This window comes from Homo sapiens, chromosome 14, assembly GCF_000001405.40.
Source record: "Homo sapiens chromosome 14, GRCh38.p14 Primary Assembly".
NCBI classification, from domain to species: Eukaryota; Metazoa; Chordata; class Mammalia; order Primates; family Hominidae; genus Homo; species Homo sapiens.
In genome coordinates this window covers 61,820,848-61,837,482 of record NC_000014.9, presented here as the reverse complement: position 1 = coordinate 61,837,482, position 16,635 = coordinate 61,820,848, and the positions used below count along the sequence as shown (strand labels likewise).

Below are 16,635 nucleotides of genomic sequence, written 5' to 3'. Positions count from 1 at the left end.
AGGATCACTTGAAGCCAGGAGTTCGAGACCAGCCTGGCCAACATAGCAAAACCCTGTCTCTACTGAATATACAAAAAATTAGCTGGGCAAGGTGGCCCACACCTGTAGTCCCAGCTACTTAGGGAGGCTGAGGTGGGAGGATCACTTGAGCCCAGGAGACAGAGGTTGCAGTGAACCAAGATCGCACCACTGCACTCCAGCCTGGTCAACAGAGCAAGACCCTGTCTCAAAAAAAAAAAAAAAAAAAAATCAGCCTCTGCCACTCAGTGGAGAATCATGGAAATCTGTTAGGATCAACACCTATGAGGAGGCCTGGCCCTGCTCACCAGCACAGACTTACCACTGAATAGAGGTATCATTTGAAACCCCCTCAATCTCAAAGTCCTGTCTTCAAACAGGAAGAAAGATAAGCTCAATGTCAAACTCATCAAATGCAGGTTCAACTGCCTCAGTCAAGGGGAATTGGCCTTATATTCAAATCACTTCCCTTGCTCCTCCTATCAGTAGGGGTTAGCGTACTGTCTGCAGGGGAGGTAGGAGAGATTGGAAAATCTGCAGAGCAATCAGAAAATTTGCATGAAATCATGACAGAAAATAAAAACCTAACTGGGTATTAATTTAAGGCCACACAAAAAAATTCATAGAAGTTTAGAAATTCAATGAAAGAAATTAAGACAGACATAAATAAATGGATGTAAAGGTTACCTATGACTGAATGGCTAACAAGCTTGTTTCCCCGGCCCTCTCATCAATTCTGTAAGCTGCCATGTAACTCTATAGTTGAGACTCTTTTCTCTTAAGGTAGTTGAGTAGGTTGTAATGTCTGCAATAAAAATCCTGGTTATTACAACAGAAGACAAGGAAACAAATAGAATTAGTAAATCACTCTAGAGAAAAAAGCAAATCAATGGGAGGTGGAGTAGAAAGGAAAATGAGGGACTGGGGAAGGAATGTAGGAGAATGGCTACAGGATTTCAGAAGGTGCACATTTAATATTCAATTTTAGACTGTTTATGTTACCAAGATATAAACTTCTCCTATCCCTCCAAACCATCAATTGGTTTTCTACATATTCAAATGCCTTTCAAGTGAATGGACTGCTGATGTTTGTGTGAATTAAGGCAAATGGATTCCTTTTCCTTTGCCGATCTGGGCCATTGCAATGCAGACACAAGAGCAGCCACCGGCAGTAAAGTAGAGCAATAAACACACGCAGGTGCAGGCACAAAGAGGTGGAAGGTACCATGAGAAATCAACCCCCAGGAATTCAATTTCTATGATGTGTATGAAGGATACAGGAGTAAAGACTTGAGCTGACCTCTGGGTTATACAAAGATAAGCTGCCCCTAGACCAGTGGTTTTCAAACTTTAGCAAGTACCAGAATCACCTGGGGGGCTAATCAAAACACTGATTGCTACGCTCCACCAGGTTTCTCAATCAGTGGATCTGATACAAGTTCTGATTAATTAAATTTCTAACAAGTTCCCGGTGATGGCAACGTTACTAGTCCAGTAACCATATTTTGTAAACCACCGTTCTAGGCCAACGAGAGTGGGTCTTACTCACCTGGGACATGTAAATTGAGAAAGACAGGAAAAGTTTCTGTGAGCCAGGTAGGAAAATTTTTGTTCCATTATCTATAGTTTAAAATGTATTTCTGTAGAAAAGTTTTGTTTGATTTTGTTATCAATGTGCTGCTGATCAAAGTATAAATTGGTACAATCCTTCTGTAGGGAAATTTGGCAACATCAAAATATTAAATGAGTATATCCTTTGACTCAGCAGTTCTGCACCCAGAAGAAGAAAACAGTGTAAAAAGATAATTTCAGGAATATTCTGGCAGTATTTTTTGATCTTTTAAAAATCCCTAAATGGCCATAAAAAGGTGATTGATAAAATCAATCATAAAAAAAAAAAGTCACCTGGCCGGGCGCAGTGGCTCACGCCTGTAATCCCAGCACTTTGGGAGGCCAAGATGGGCAGATCAAGAGGTCGGGAGTTTGAGACCAGCCTGGCCAACATAATGAAACCCCATCTCTACTAAGAATACAAAAAATTAGCTGGGCATGGTGGCAGGCGCCTGTAATCCCAGTTACTTGGGAGGCTGAAGCAGGAGAATCACTTGAACCCAGAAGGAGGAGGTTGCAGTGAGCCGAGACCGCGCCACTGCACTCTTTCCCCGGGCGACAATGTGAGACTCTGTCTCAAAAAAAAAAAAAAAAAAAAAAAAATTCACCTTTCATGAGACAACATTTACAGTGTACTATTTATTGAAAAGGCAGGTCCTTATACACATTACTCCACTAGTCAGTGCTGCTCAAAGTAGCAGCCTATTAACTGTTTTTTGCTGTTCTTAAAGCTATAAATCAGCACACACTGCCTTCTTCCTTGAAAATGTCTTATCACAGCAAACAATGCAACAATTTCTCTTAATATCTTCATATGCAAAGTGGGTATAAAAGGTCAGGATTTATAAAAAGGTAAGTTTCTTTAAGACCTTAATGAAACTAAAACAAGTGCTTTGGAAACAAATATTCCCAAACACATGCCTGGTTTTATGGGAATGCTATGCTATATACCATCATATATCAACACACATCTTTTTCAAACAACAGGTAATTGGAATACAGCAGTGTGTTTAATGAATAATTTTAAGAGAGAACAATTCAGAGCATCAAACAGTATTTATATACCAGTACAACTGGATAGATGGATGGGTGATCTGGTATATCAAATGTGAATCAGGGCTGGGTGCAGTGGCTCATGTCTGTAATCTCAACACTTTGGGAGGCCAAGGAAAGCAGATCACCTGAGGTCAGGAGTTCAAGACCAACCTGGCCAACATGGTGAAACCCCATCTCTACTAAAAATACAAAATTAGCCAGGCATGGTGGCGCACACCTGTAATCCCAGCTACTTGGGAGGCTGGGGCAGAAGAATCACTTAAACCCGGGAGGCAGAGGTTGCAGTGAGCCGAGATCACACCACATTGCACTCCAGCCTGGGCAACAAGAGCAAGACTCTGTCTCAAAAAAAAAAAAAAAAAAAAAAAAGCCAGGCACGGTGGCTCATGCCTGTAATCCCAGCACTTTGAGAGGCCAAGGCAGGCAGATCACGAGGCCAAGAGTCTAAGACCAACCTGGCTAACATGATGGAACCCTGTCTCTACTAAAAATATAAAAAATTAGCCAGGCATGGTGGCAGGTGCCTGTAATCCCAGCTACTCAGGAGGCTGAGGCAGGAGAATTGCTTGAACCTGGGAGGTGGAGGTTACAGTGAGCCGAGATCGCACCACTGCTCTCCAGCCCAGGCGACAGTGGGAGACTCCATCTCAAAAAAAATAAATGTGAATCAGGACATTTAACCGTGTAGTATACAGAGCTGATATGGATGCATCCTTCCCACTAAAAACACATGGAAATTCTAAATAAAATATAACCAATAAGCAAAATTACTTCCAAAGAACAAGTATCTCCCAGATTCCAAAATTTAAAAAAAAAAAAAAAAAAAATCAAAGCCAGAGCTTCAGCAATCCACTGGAAATTTAGTTTCAGACTTAGAGGCTATGGGACTCCACAGGGAAAAAGAACAGGATTGGAAGCTCCACCTCCAACTCCCTGCAGGAATAAAGCCCTGCACCTTAAAGAACAGTCCTGTAAGTAAAAAGGAAACTGTACACAGCCTGCTCGCTAGCGCAAAGAAAGAGCGAGGAAGCTGCTGAGTGCCCTGGTCCTTGAGTTTAAAATTTAAATTTAAAAAAAAAAAAAAAAAAAAAGCCACTGCTGGGCGCAGTGGCTAATGTCTGTAATCCCAGCACTTTGGGATCACAAGGTCAGGAGTTCAAGACCAGCCTGGCCAACATGGCAAAACTCTGTCTCTACTAAAAATACAAAAATTGGCCAAGCACGGTGGCTCACGCCTGTAATCCCAGCACTTTGGAGACAGGCAGATCACCTGAGGTCAGAAGTTCGAGACCAGCCTGACCAACATGGAGAAACCCCGTCTCTACTAAAAATACAAAATTAGATGGGCATGGTGGCCCATGCCTGTAATCCCAGCTACTCGGGAGGCTGAGGCAGGAAAATCGCTTGAACCCGGGAGGCAGAGGTTGCAGTGAGCTGAGATCGAGCCATCGCACTCCAGTCTGGGCAACAAGAACAAGACTCCGTCTCAAAAAAAAAAAAAAGAAAAGAAAAAAAAGCCACCCATGAGCCATGAGAAATAGAAATCTAGGACTTGCACAGGTTGAGGGGTCTAAATGTTTCCTCCATACAGTTTTTAATACTCCAAGATGAATTGTTACTATAAAAAGTGATCCAGGACCACCAAAATTCCTAGGGATACAGTAAACACAACATGAAAATCTCCGTCCTTACAGACAGAGATTGAAATAAATAATTTTACAGCTCAAAGCTTATGGAAAACTCACTGAAGATGAACTAGCACAATTAAATATCACAGAACACAGGAGGAAACGAATCACCATGAGGGTGAATCAGCAGACCTGAAAATTGACACCTTAAGAAGTGAAAACAATAGATGAATTAAACGGACTACAAAATAGTCAAGTTTTAAAATAATTTAGAAACCATAGTGAAGGAATAAGATACTCTGGCAAAGGGATAGATTTATTTTAAATAACCAAATAAAATTTTATAAATAAAAAATATTATTAGTGGAAAACAAAACTATTGCTAGGTTAAATAATATAACAGAGCCACCTTTAAAAAGAACTACTGGGCTGGGCCGGGCACGGTGGCTCACGCATGTAATCCTAACACCTTGAGAGGCCGAGGTGGGCGGATCACCTGAGGTCAGGTGTCCGAGACCAGCCTGGCCAACATGGTGAAACCCCATCTATACTAAAAATACAAAAAATTAGCCAGGCATGGTGGCGGGTACCTGCAATCCCAGCTACTCGGGAGGCTGAGGCAGGAGAATCACTTGAACTCGGGAGGCGGAGGTTGCAGTGAGCTGAGATCACGCCTCTGCGCCACAGCCTGGGCAACAAGAGCAAAACTCCGTCTCGGAAAAGAAAAAAACAAAAAAGAACTACTGGGGTCGCGGGACACCGGGCATAGAGGGCGGCGGTGGTGGGGCAGCTGCGGCAGAATGTTGGCTACCAGGGTAGTTAGCCTAGTTGGCAAGCGAGCAATTTCCACCTTGGTGTCTGTACGAGCACACGGAAATGTTGTGAAGAGCGATGACTATGCGCTCCCAGCTTATGTGGATCGACGTGACTATCCCGTACCCGATGTGGCCCATGTCAAGCACCTGTCTGCCAGACAGAAAGCCGTGAAGAAGAAGGAGAAGGCCTCCTGGAGCAACCGCTCCACGGATGGGAAAGTCGAGTTGTATCACATTCAGTTCAAGGAGAGCTTTGCTGAGATGAACAGGGGCGTGAACGAGTGGAAGACGGTTGTGGGCGCTGCCATGTTCTTCCTTGGCTTCACGGCGTTCATTATCATCTGGGAGAAGCGCTGTGTGTACGGCCCCATCCCGCACACCTTTGACAAAGAGTGGGTGCCCATGCAGACCAAGAGGATGCTGGACATGAGGTGAACCCCTGCAGGGCTTCGCCAGCCAAGTGGGACTATGACAAGAACGAGTGGAAGAAGTGAGAGATGCTGTCCTGCTTTTGAGCCTTGCTCTGTCACCTCCATACTATAACTCCATGCCTATTTACTGGAAACCTGTTATGCCAAACAGTACCACTGCTAATAAATGACCAGTTTACCTGAAAGAAAAAAAAAAAGAACTACTGAAGTGAAAGAAAAATCTGGAGAAAGTACCAGAGACAAGGTGTGGAGAAGGGAAAAAGGAGAAATAAAGAATATGAATATGAATCAATGAATAGTTAACAGATAAGAAACACAGAAAGAGATGCTTCAGCATATGGCAGTTTAAAGAGGTCTAAGAAGGGAATGGGAGAGAGACAATACTCAAAGAGATGACTAAGAATTTTCCAGAATTAGAAAGTGAGAATTAAGACAGAAAATGTCTAAATAAAATCAAATCCACACCTATACCCATAATGGTTAAATTTAAGATTAAAAAAAGAGAAATTCTTAAAATCAACCGGAGGAAGACAATGTATCTAAAAATAAATTATAATTCTCATCAGTGATAGATGATAAAGGACTAAAAAGTAATACATTAAAATGTTGAAGGGACTCTCATTTCTGGACAAGATGGAATAAGTACAAAAAACAAAAAGCTTCAAGAAAAGTCTGCTCTCTGTCCCTCAGGGTTTCTCACCTTTGGCACTTTTGATTTGGAGCTGGATAACTGCTGCAGGATCTTGTTCTCTGTATTATAGGATATTCAGCAGCATCCCTGGCTAGATGTCAGTGACAACCCTCCAGTTGTGACAACCAAAAATGTCTTAGACATTGGCAAATGTCATCTGGGGGAATAAAATTATCTCCAGTTGAGAATCCATCCCCTTAGCCAAAGGACGTGGAAGAGGACAGTGCTGCAAGACAGAACCCTTGTGAATATACTCATTGTATTTTAGGCAAACACCACAAAAGAACCGCATCTCTCTGCATCCTCACCAGGCACTGTGAAGAGCCCTGTTGACCATCCTTGCCTGGCACTAACAGCAGAAGTAGCACGCCTTCTCCTCCTCACTGGAATGGATTGGAGCTCTGTTGACCATTCCTGCCCTAAACCAAGACAAGATCGGGAAAGAAGCAGTGCCCCTTCCCTTCTTCAATGGCATAGCGACCACAGAACCCACCATGGACTGTAGGGAGAAGCACTCTACCACCCTGCACTTACTAACTGAAGGACAGCAAGAGGCAACACCCTACCTCCTCTCAACTAGAGAGTGAGGAAGGATTATGGAGAAAAGAGGACTGGATAAAGAAATCTTGTCAATCTGTGTATGAAGTCCTGTGCAGACCCCTAAATGGTCCATGTGTGAAATCAACCGGAGTCAACATAGTAAAGTTTTGGGAACTGAACTACGGTGAGAAATATCATACAGGTTTCAGTTCACCTATGGATAACACTCTATATAGAGCAGATCAGAATAGCAGGGCAAAGGCTATAAAAACTAAATCGACATTCAAGCCACAGCCCACAAAAGTGAATAAGACATGAATTTTGAGTCCAAGCAGGTTGATTGCCTCTAAACCAGAATCTCATTATGTAATACTCAAAATGTCTAGGATACAATCCAAAGTTATTCATCAAAGTTATTCATCATACCAAGAACAGGGAAAATCTTAAAGACAAGACAATCTACAGACACCAACATCAAAGCAACACAAATGTTGGAATTTATGACAAGGATTTTAAAGCGGTTATCATAAAAATGCTCCAAGAAATTATGAACCCTCTTCAAACAAACGGAAAAACCAGTGGGCTCAGAAAAATACTCAAGATATAAAGAATAAAACTGAAAATAATAGAACTGAAAAATACAATAACTTAATTTTTTTTTTAACTCACTAGCTGGGCTCAGTGGCAGAAGAGAATTGACAGAGGAAAGAGATCAGTGATCTTGAAAATATATCAATAAAGCCGGGCATGGTGGCTCATGCCTGTAATCCCAGCACTTTGGGAGGCCAAGGCAGGTGGATCACGAGGTCAGGAGATCGAGACCATCCTGGCTAACACGGTGAAACCCCGTCTATACTAAAAATACAAAAAATTAGCTGGGCGTGGTGGCTGGCACCTGTAGTCCCAGCTACTCGGGAGGCTGAGGCAGGAGAATGGCATGAACCCGGGAGGCGGAGCTTGCAATGAGCCAAGATCACACCATTGTACTCCAGCCTGGGCGACAGAGCGAGACTCCGTCTCAAAAAAAAAAAAGAAAAGAAAATATATCAATAGAAATTGTCTAATCTGAACAATAGAGAGACAAGTTTAGGAGGAAGGTATGAACAAAGACTCAGGGAGCTGTGGGACAATAACCAAAAAAAAATCTAATATTTGTGTTATCAGAATCTCAGTAGGATCAGAGAAAGAATTCAGGACTGAGAAACTATTTCAAGAAATAATAAAAATATCCCAAATTTGGGGAAAGACATAAATCTAGAGATTGAAAAACCTAACTAAACTTTAAACAGGAGAAACCCAAAGAAATCCATACCCAGACATATCATAATTAAATTTCTGAAAATTTAAGATAATAAAAAAATCTTGAAAGCAGTCAGACAGAAATGATAAAGTATATACAGTGGGATAACAATTCAAATGACAGTGGATTTCCACATCTAAAATCATAGAGGCCAGAAGGAAGTGGCACTTTTTCTTTTGTGATATATTAATAGATTTATACTTAAATATATGTCAAGCAGAATGCCAACAAGTCTACTAAAATATCACTCATAAAATACAACACTAAATAGTAGATACTATTATAAAAATGAGGAAATAGGTTTTAGCAAACTTTATTTTGTCCAATATAACATATTCTCCAATGCAAAATAGCATTGGGTTTATAATGGCTTATTGTTTCATTACAGTTCTTATCTTTTTCAAATGTCTGTCTAAGCCCATAGACTTTATGATCAGTGTTTTGTTCCTGGTCCAGTTGGTGGTGGTGTTTTCCCTAACATTTCCATGATTGTGCACATGCTTTGGGCCTAACAGTGTTAGGAATAGCCTTAAAGAGAGAATAAGGAAAAAGAATTTGATCTGTATTGTCTGTCTCTGAGAGTACTCAGGGTCTTCACCCTCAGCCAAAGGACAAACTGTCACTGCACATAGTGGATCTGAGATGTGTATTCAAATTTATATGTTTATGGTATCAGATAGGATCCAATTCTCCTTTACACTCAGAACAATCTGTATAACTCTGTGTGTTTTTCTTCTTTTCCATTTCTACCAAGTCTGCACCACACTTTCAGATCCTATGATTATTTTGTTGGGGTGGAAGTAGCACATTTTTCAAGTGCTAAAATAAAGCAACTGTCAAGTCAGAATTCTATATCAGTGAAAATGTCCTTCAAGATCAAAAGGGAAATCAAGACATTTTTAGATGAAGGAACACTAAGAAAACTTGTTGCCAGCAATCCTACTCTAAAAGAATTGCTAAAGGAAGTTATTTGGACAGAAGGGAAATATTATTAAGAGAAATCTGGATCATCAGGAGTGAAAGAAGAGCAACAAAGATGATAAATATCTTGGTAAACATAATAAACCATTCTTCTCATGAATTCTTTAAAACATGCTTGATTTTTGAAGGCAAAAAGTATGTGTATTCATTTGCTAGGGCTACCATAACAAAGTACCACAAACTGTGGGGTTTAAACAATAAAATTTTCTCATATTTCTGGAGATCAGAATTCCAAGAGCAAGGTGCCAGCAAGGTTGGTCTCTTCTGAAGCCTCTCTCTTTGGCTTGTAGGCGGCCATCTTCTTCCTGTGTCTTCACATGATCCTCTCTGTGTCTGCGTCCAAGTCTCCTCTTCTTACAATGACACTAGTCATATTGAATTGGGGCTCGCTCTAATGACCTCATTTTAACTTCATTTTAACTGAATTACCTATTTAAAAACCCTAGCTTCAAATACAGTCACATTCTGAAGTCCTGAGGATTAGTACATCAACATATGAATTTGGGGTGTATACAATTTGGCCCATCAGAGAATATGAATATAATATATAACTAAAACATAGAGGGGCAGATAAAGGGACTTATATGGTGGTAAGAATTATATATTCCACTGAAGTGGTGAAATATTGATTCTAAGTAGACAGAAGTTCAGTATGTACAGTGTAGTTCCTACTCCACTTAAAAACATACAAAATATGGCAATAAATAAAATATCAAAAGTGTGTAAATAATCCAAAATAAGATAGAGAAGGGGAAATAGAATAACCAAAAAAAAATCATGACCAATAGGTCTTGTCCCAGCAATGTACCTTTGGTTAACAATAATAGCATTGATTATTCTATCAATGACTCATTTCCAGTGTAAAATGGCAGACTGAACACATGCTTTTATCTCTATTGCTGCACCTCAGATTTCTTAGAGAAAAGTATTTTTTTAAGGTAAAAACCAACATCGACAAAAAGAGCAAGGGAGAAACAGTAGCAGATGAGAAAGATCAACACATTTTTGGAAGATGAGAAGGATATAGCCAGAAACTAAGTCTCACCATCTTTCTTCACTCTGCAAGGCACCTACACAGGGGAAATGCCACAACAGGCTAGCTGATTCATGCAGCAGAATCCCAGAATGGTTCTGTCATTGTAGGTGCCTGTTCCCTCAGAAGGTGGGGAACAGAGATAGGGCTGAAAACAGGAGAACTGGCAGAAAGGATGTACAGAGAGCCAAGCCTCCACCAGATCCAGCAGCCAACAATGAAGCCAGAGGACTATTCCCTTCCTAAGTGTCATGGATTGAATTATGTTCCCCAAAATTCATATGTTGAGGCCCTGACTCCACTACCTCCGAATACAACTGTATTTAGAGATGGGGCCTTTAAAGAGGTAGTTCAAATTAAATAAGGTCATAAGGGTGGGACTCTAATTTAATGGAACTGGTGGGCTTCCGCAGAGTGGAAAAAACACGAGAGCTTTCTCTCCTCCACCCTGGTAAGGACACGGAAAGAAGGTGCCACCGGCAAGCCAGGAATATTAAAAGGGGTTGGGGTATTTATAAGTTGTGTTTGGCCTCAGCAAACACCAACCCTCCTGGCACCTCAGTCTTGGACTTACAACCTCTAGAACTGTAGGAAAATACGTGTGTGTTGTTTAAGCCACCCAGACAGTGGTATCTTGTTATGAGAGTCCCAGCTGACCAATGCAGCAAGTCTACAGGGATCTCTGTTTAATCTCTGGAGAAATAAAAGCAGAGAGGCTGTGGGTTTGGAAACCTCGCATCCCTCGTGGCAAGAATGAGGTTCTGTACCAAAAATGGAGTATTCAGGACAAGTCCATGATAATAAAAGGGAAGTCTGCCAGGTCTCTTCACCTCCTGGATTCGCAAAATAATGACAACTAGGCTTATGCCCAGGAGCACTTTCAGGGAGAGAGACAGAGACAGGAAATTGGAATCTTCATCTGTAAAGAAAATTACTGGGCCCAGAAAAAATACAGCAGGTTCTCAAATAATGTTGTTTTGTTATAACATTGATGAGAACAAAACACTCTATTCCTGACACCAGAGCCACTGTCTGTGTGGAGTTCATGTTCTGCCCATGTCTGCATAGGTTTTCTCTGGGTACCCCAGTTTCCTCCCACATCCCAAAAATGTGCACATGAGGCGAACTAGCATGTCCACATGGTCCCAGCGTGAGTGAGTGTGGCTGTGTGTGAGTGCCCTGAGATGGGATGGCATCCTGTCCAGGGCTGGTTCCAACCTTGCACCTGAGCTGCCAGGACAGGCCCCAGCCACCCACAACCCTGAACGGGAATAAGTGAGTTGAAGAATGAATGAAGAAATAAAAACAAATTATTATAAAATAAAAATTCATAAAGTATATGATAATCATACCAATGCACAAAAATAAATGATGCACTATGAAAGCACTCAGCAAGCCCTTGTTTGCTTTTTGAACTATGGGGTGGCAGGAAGTGCTCCTGACAATTTTCACTCTGCAAAAGTTAATTCATTGATTTGGTCCACCACACTATAAGCCACTATTACTCACTGATTCACCAAAAATTAGATAAATAATTATCTTACTTGTTTTTATTAATCTTTCTTAAATGTATATGTAGCTTACATTTATTTCCATGTTTAATATTAAAGGGCTTGGGGTCTTTATTTAGAAGTTTTGTGACCAGAAATACACCATAGAAACTTAGTTCATTGTTGTTGTTGTCTTTGTTGCTGTTAAGATAGAGTCTTGCTCTGTTGTCCAGGCTGGAATCAATGGCATGATCTCAGCTCACTGCAGCCTCAGTGTCCCTGGGCTCAAGCCATCCTCCTACCTCAGCCTCCCAAGTAGCTGGGACTACAGGCACGCACCACCAAGCCTGGCTAATTTTTGTATTCTTTTTGTAGAGACGAGGTCTTGCTATGTGGCCCAGGCTGGTCTCAAACTCCTGGGTTCAAGGAATCCACCTGCCTCCACCTCCCAAAGTGCTGGGATTACAGGCATGAGCCCCAGCCAGGAATTTAACTCTTGTTTACCTCAATTACTCTATGGTAAAACTGGCTTTGTTATATGTTGTTTCACTTAAAGTCACAGGTTCTAAGAACCTATCAATTACATTAAGTGAAGACTTACTACATCTACAAATACCAAGAGGGGGCCACAGTGAAATGGAATCCTGAATAACCACCCTGAAGTGACACAGCAAGTAAAGCAGCCCACAACCCTGCCCTTACAAGCTGTTTTGGTGCCCCAATCTCAAATGTGAAAGAACCACCAAGGATCACACTTCATTTTTCAAGATGCTAGTGGAGGATTTGTTCCAGAATAACCTATGACAGACTAAAAGCAGTTTTCCATTTTTTTGGTTTTAGGGCTCTTTTCTACTTTGAAATTTTAAGGACCCCAAAGCACTTTAGTTTTTGTTTTATTTACTGATATTTCCCATATTCAAAATTAAAGATGAGACATTTTTAAAACAGAAGCATATACAAGCACAAGTTCGATTAGCCACATGGTGATGAAGTCATAGCTCCTCATGCCCCCTCTGCAAATTTTAGTGTACACTTAATAAAATGAGAGTAAAAAGACATTCTTATTATTATGAAAGTAGTTTTGACCTTGCAGACCCTCTAAAAGTCTTAGGGACCACCATTACCTTGAGTTCACACTCTGGGAACTGCTGAAGTAAAGGATGGGATGCAGGAAAAAAATGGCAGCCTCACAGCAGATAAACAGAATGAACTGGGCAAACATTAAAATGCTTATTATAGCCGGGCACGGTGGCTCACGCCTGTAATCCCAGCACTTTGGGAGGCTCAGGCGGGCGGATCATGAGGTCAGGAGATTGAGACCATCCTGGCTAACACAGTGAAACCCCGTCTCTACTAAAAATACAAAAAATTAGCCAGGCGTGGTGGCAGGTGCCTGTAGTCCCAGCTACTCGGGAGGCTGAGGCAGGAGAATGGTGTGAACCCGGGAGGTGGAGGTTGCAGTGAGCCGAGATCCTGCCACTGCACTCCAGCCTGGGAGACAAAGTGAGACTCTATCTCAAAAATAAATAAATAAATAAAATAAAATGCTTATTATATATAAGCCATCACCATGCATATTCAATAGAAAACAAAATTGAGGAAATATCTGCAGAAGTAGTTCTTTCCTTCAAGGAGAATATAGACTAGAATAAGACCAAAAAAGAAAAAGTATATAGGAGATATGAATAAAATGAGTGACGGATTCTGAATGGGAGAATTGACAAAGATTTCAAAGAGAAAACAGAACAGCATGGGACTCGGGCCACAGTGCTGAAAAGAACCCTTTTTAATAAAGTGAGTTCAGACTCTTCTCTTTATATTCATTTTATATAGACCAATTTTCTCCAATAAAATAAAAATGTTTGTCTCCAGGATCCAACTGACTTCATAAAGAGTGGGATAGTCTTAAGTTGATTACAAATAGTGTTCAGAGTTTCAAGAAAGGGACATGGAATCAAATCAGTACTTTCCATTAACCAAACTCTTGAGAATAGCTTCATATTTTAAACTCTAAGACAATCATCTTAAAGCAAGAATTCAATCAGCAGCTTATTGTCGCACGGAACAGTATCATAAAGCAGTCAGTCGCTGTCCAGTTTCTAGATTTCTATCACATTCTGTTTGTTGTTTGTTTTTTGAGACAGGGTCTCGCTCTGTCACCCAGGCTGGAGCGCAGTGGCGCCATCTCAACTCACTGCAACCTTCACCTCCCAGGCTCAAGCGATTCTCCTGCCTCATCCTCCCGAGTACCTAGGGTTACAGGTGTGCACCACCACACCTAGCTAATTCTTCTTTTTTTTTTTTTTTTTTTTTTGTATTTTTAGTAGAGATGGGTTTTTGCCATGTTGACCAGGCTGGTTTTGTACTCCTGGCTTCAAACAATCTGCCCACCTCGGCCTCCCAAAGTGCTGGGATTACAGGCATTAGCCACCACATCCAGCCTCTATCATGCTTTTCGTAAGTGCAAAGCAATAGCCTGAAGTGGATAAAATCATTAAGAGTATACAACATAAGCATATTAAAACTTTACACTGCATTCCAGGCTGGGCAACAGAGTAAGACTCTGTCTCTTAAGAACAAATTAAAAATAAAAAAATAGGCCAGGCGCAGTGGCTCACACCTGTAATGCCAGCACTTTGGGAGGCTGAGGTGGAAGGATCACGAAGTCAGGAGTTCGAGACCAGCCTGGCCAACACAGTGAAATCCTGCCTCTACAAAAATACAAAAAATTAGCCGGGCATGGTGGCAGGCACCTGTAATTCCAACTACTCAGGAGGCTGAGGCAGGAGAATCACTTGAACCCAGGAGGCAGAGGTTGCAGTGAGCTGAGATCGTGCTACTGCACTCCAACCTGGGCGACAAAAATGAAACTCTGTCTCAAAAAATAAATAAAATAAAAAATAAAAAAATAGAGCCTTAAAACTTTAAGTAATACCCTATGCCCATATAATGCCTCACACATTGGCAAGGTACCCTAAAACAATCCATTTTCTCCCATGAAAAAACAGTTGTTCTTTGGTATAATTCTCATTTGTCTCACTCTGTGCCCTTTACCCACTTTCAACCTGAGTTTCAGAGCATCATCCTGACTTCCTGTGTTTTTTAATTTTTCCAAAAATGAGACAATTTGAGTGTTTTCATTTTTATAAATCTGTAACATTTGCATAAAATTCACAAAGCATACTGCCTTCTGCTTCTTCAGAGCTCACCACAGCAGCCTCTTATTCAGATGGACTTCCCCAATAGCAGCTCAAACACCAAAAATTACCCTTCCAGCGCCATTGTTTCTACAGTGCAACAGCTCTCAGGTTGGAAAGAAGAGAACAATTTCTTCTCTGACGGAGGCAGTTATTTCAGGCTTTACCACCTGCAATGGTTAACAGTAGGTGTCAACTTGACTGGATTGAAGGATGCCTAGATGGCTGGTGAGCAGTGTTTCTGGATGTGTCTGTGAGGGTGTTTCCAGAGAAGAATGATGCAGGAGTCAGTGGCCTAAGAGAAGCAGACCAACCCTCAATATGGATAGGCACCATCCAGTTGGCTGGTGGCCCCACGAGGACAAAGAAGGAGTGTGGGAAAAGATGGGGGATCCACCCTCTGCTCTGTCTCTCCCTGCCAGAGCAGGACTTTCTCCTCCTGCCCTTGGACGTGAGACTCCAGGTTCTTCAGCTTTTGGATTGTTGGACTTGTACCAGCAAGCTCCTAGAGGCTCTCAGTCTTTTGACCTCAGACTGGGAGCTGTACTGTTGGCTTCCCCAGTTTTGAGGCTTTCGGAATTGGACTGAGCCATGCTACCAGGCTCTCTGACAGCCATGCCACTGGCTTCTCTGGTTCTGCAGCTTGCTCATGACCTATGCTGGGACTTTACCTTTGTGATCGTGTTAGCCAATTCTCCCCTAATAAATCCATTTTTATAGATATATCCTATTGGCTCTGTCCCTCTGGAGAACCCTGACTAGTACACCATCCCAATGATATCTAAAGTCTTAAAGAGGAAATGTAATACTCCAAATAAAAATCTAATTGAAGAAGTAGATATAAAAGTTTCATGGGGAGTATAGCAGACAGACTCTAAGATGGTTTATGATTATCCTCATCTCCTAGTACTCACATCCTTGTTTAATCCCTTCCTTTTGAGTTAAGAAGGAACCTATGACTTGCTACTAGCCAAGAGAATACAGCAAAGGTGATGGAATGTCACTTGCATGATTCTATTACTAGCAGACTTTCTCCCTTGCTGGCTTTGATGAAGCAAGAGGCCATACTGGGAGGTTCACATAGAAGGAAATTGAGGGTAGCCTCTAGCTAAAGCCAGTAAGAAATTGAGGCCCTCAGTCCATCAGCCTGCAAGAGTCTGAATCCTGTCAATGCCCATGAGCTCAGTAGTGGATCTGCCCCACTCAAGCCTTCAGATGAAAGCCCAGCCATAGCTGACACCTTGATTGCAGCCAGCAAACTCCTGACCTACAGAGCTGTGGAATGACAGATAAGTGTTTTTTTAAGCCACTAGCTTTGTGGTAATTTGTTATGCAGCAATAGATAACAAATATAGGGGAGTATTTAAAAAACACTGTAGAAAATATGACTGTGATTCTAATTATCACCACTAAAATCTAACAATTGATTTGGGCTAGTTAGGAAAGATATTGTAATGCACTTCTAAAAAGTCTAAGAAATAGGATGATAGGGGTTAAGGGAGAGGGGTCATCCTCTACCTTTTTCTTGTGGAGAAGAAGGGGAGGGCTGTTGAAGGCAGCCCAGCGGCTGAGGGCTCTGCAAACCTGACACTAATAGAGCTGGTGTGTCTCAGCCAAAATACCAAGAATAGTGAAACCAAAGGGAAAAGCATATTGGCAGGTATGGGGAGTTAGAGCAAGAGCTGGGAAGCAAGAGAGACAGGGAATGTCAACATGGGCAGTGGGAGGATCCCAGAGCAGATGTCTGAGACAGAGAAAGGCTACTCCCAGAAGGAAGGGCTGGATGGCTAAGGTCAGCACCAGTGGAGACAAGGTCATTTATGTATGAGTATTACTAGCATATT

General features: G+C 41.6%; 1 protein-coding gene and 1 pseudogene across 10 annotated transcripts in view, besides 1 other annotated feature; one reads left to right on the top strand and one right to left on the bottom strand.

The window, feature by feature from the left end:
• SYT16 (synaptotagmin 16) overlaps nucleotides 1-16,635 on the bottom strand; it is a 300,664-nt gene that overhangs the window by 275,343 nt on the left and 8,686 nt on the right. The gene's annotated exons all lie outside the window — the stretch shown is intronic.
• Nucleotides 4,865-5,364: an enhancer, noted in NCBI's record as "H3K27ac hESC enhancer chr14:62298837-62299336 (GRCh37/hg19 assembly coordinates)". NCBI's record gives its function as "activates a minimal SCP1, AML or CMV promoter by ChIP-STARR-seq in naive H9 embryonic stem cells {active_cell/tissue: H9 hESC(naive)}" and the evidence as "EXISTENCE:reporter gene assay evidence [ECO:0000049][PMID:30033119]".
• On the top strand, nucleotides 5,061-5,744 carry COX4I1P1 (cytochrome c oxidase subunit 4I1 pseudogene 1; annotated as a pseudogene).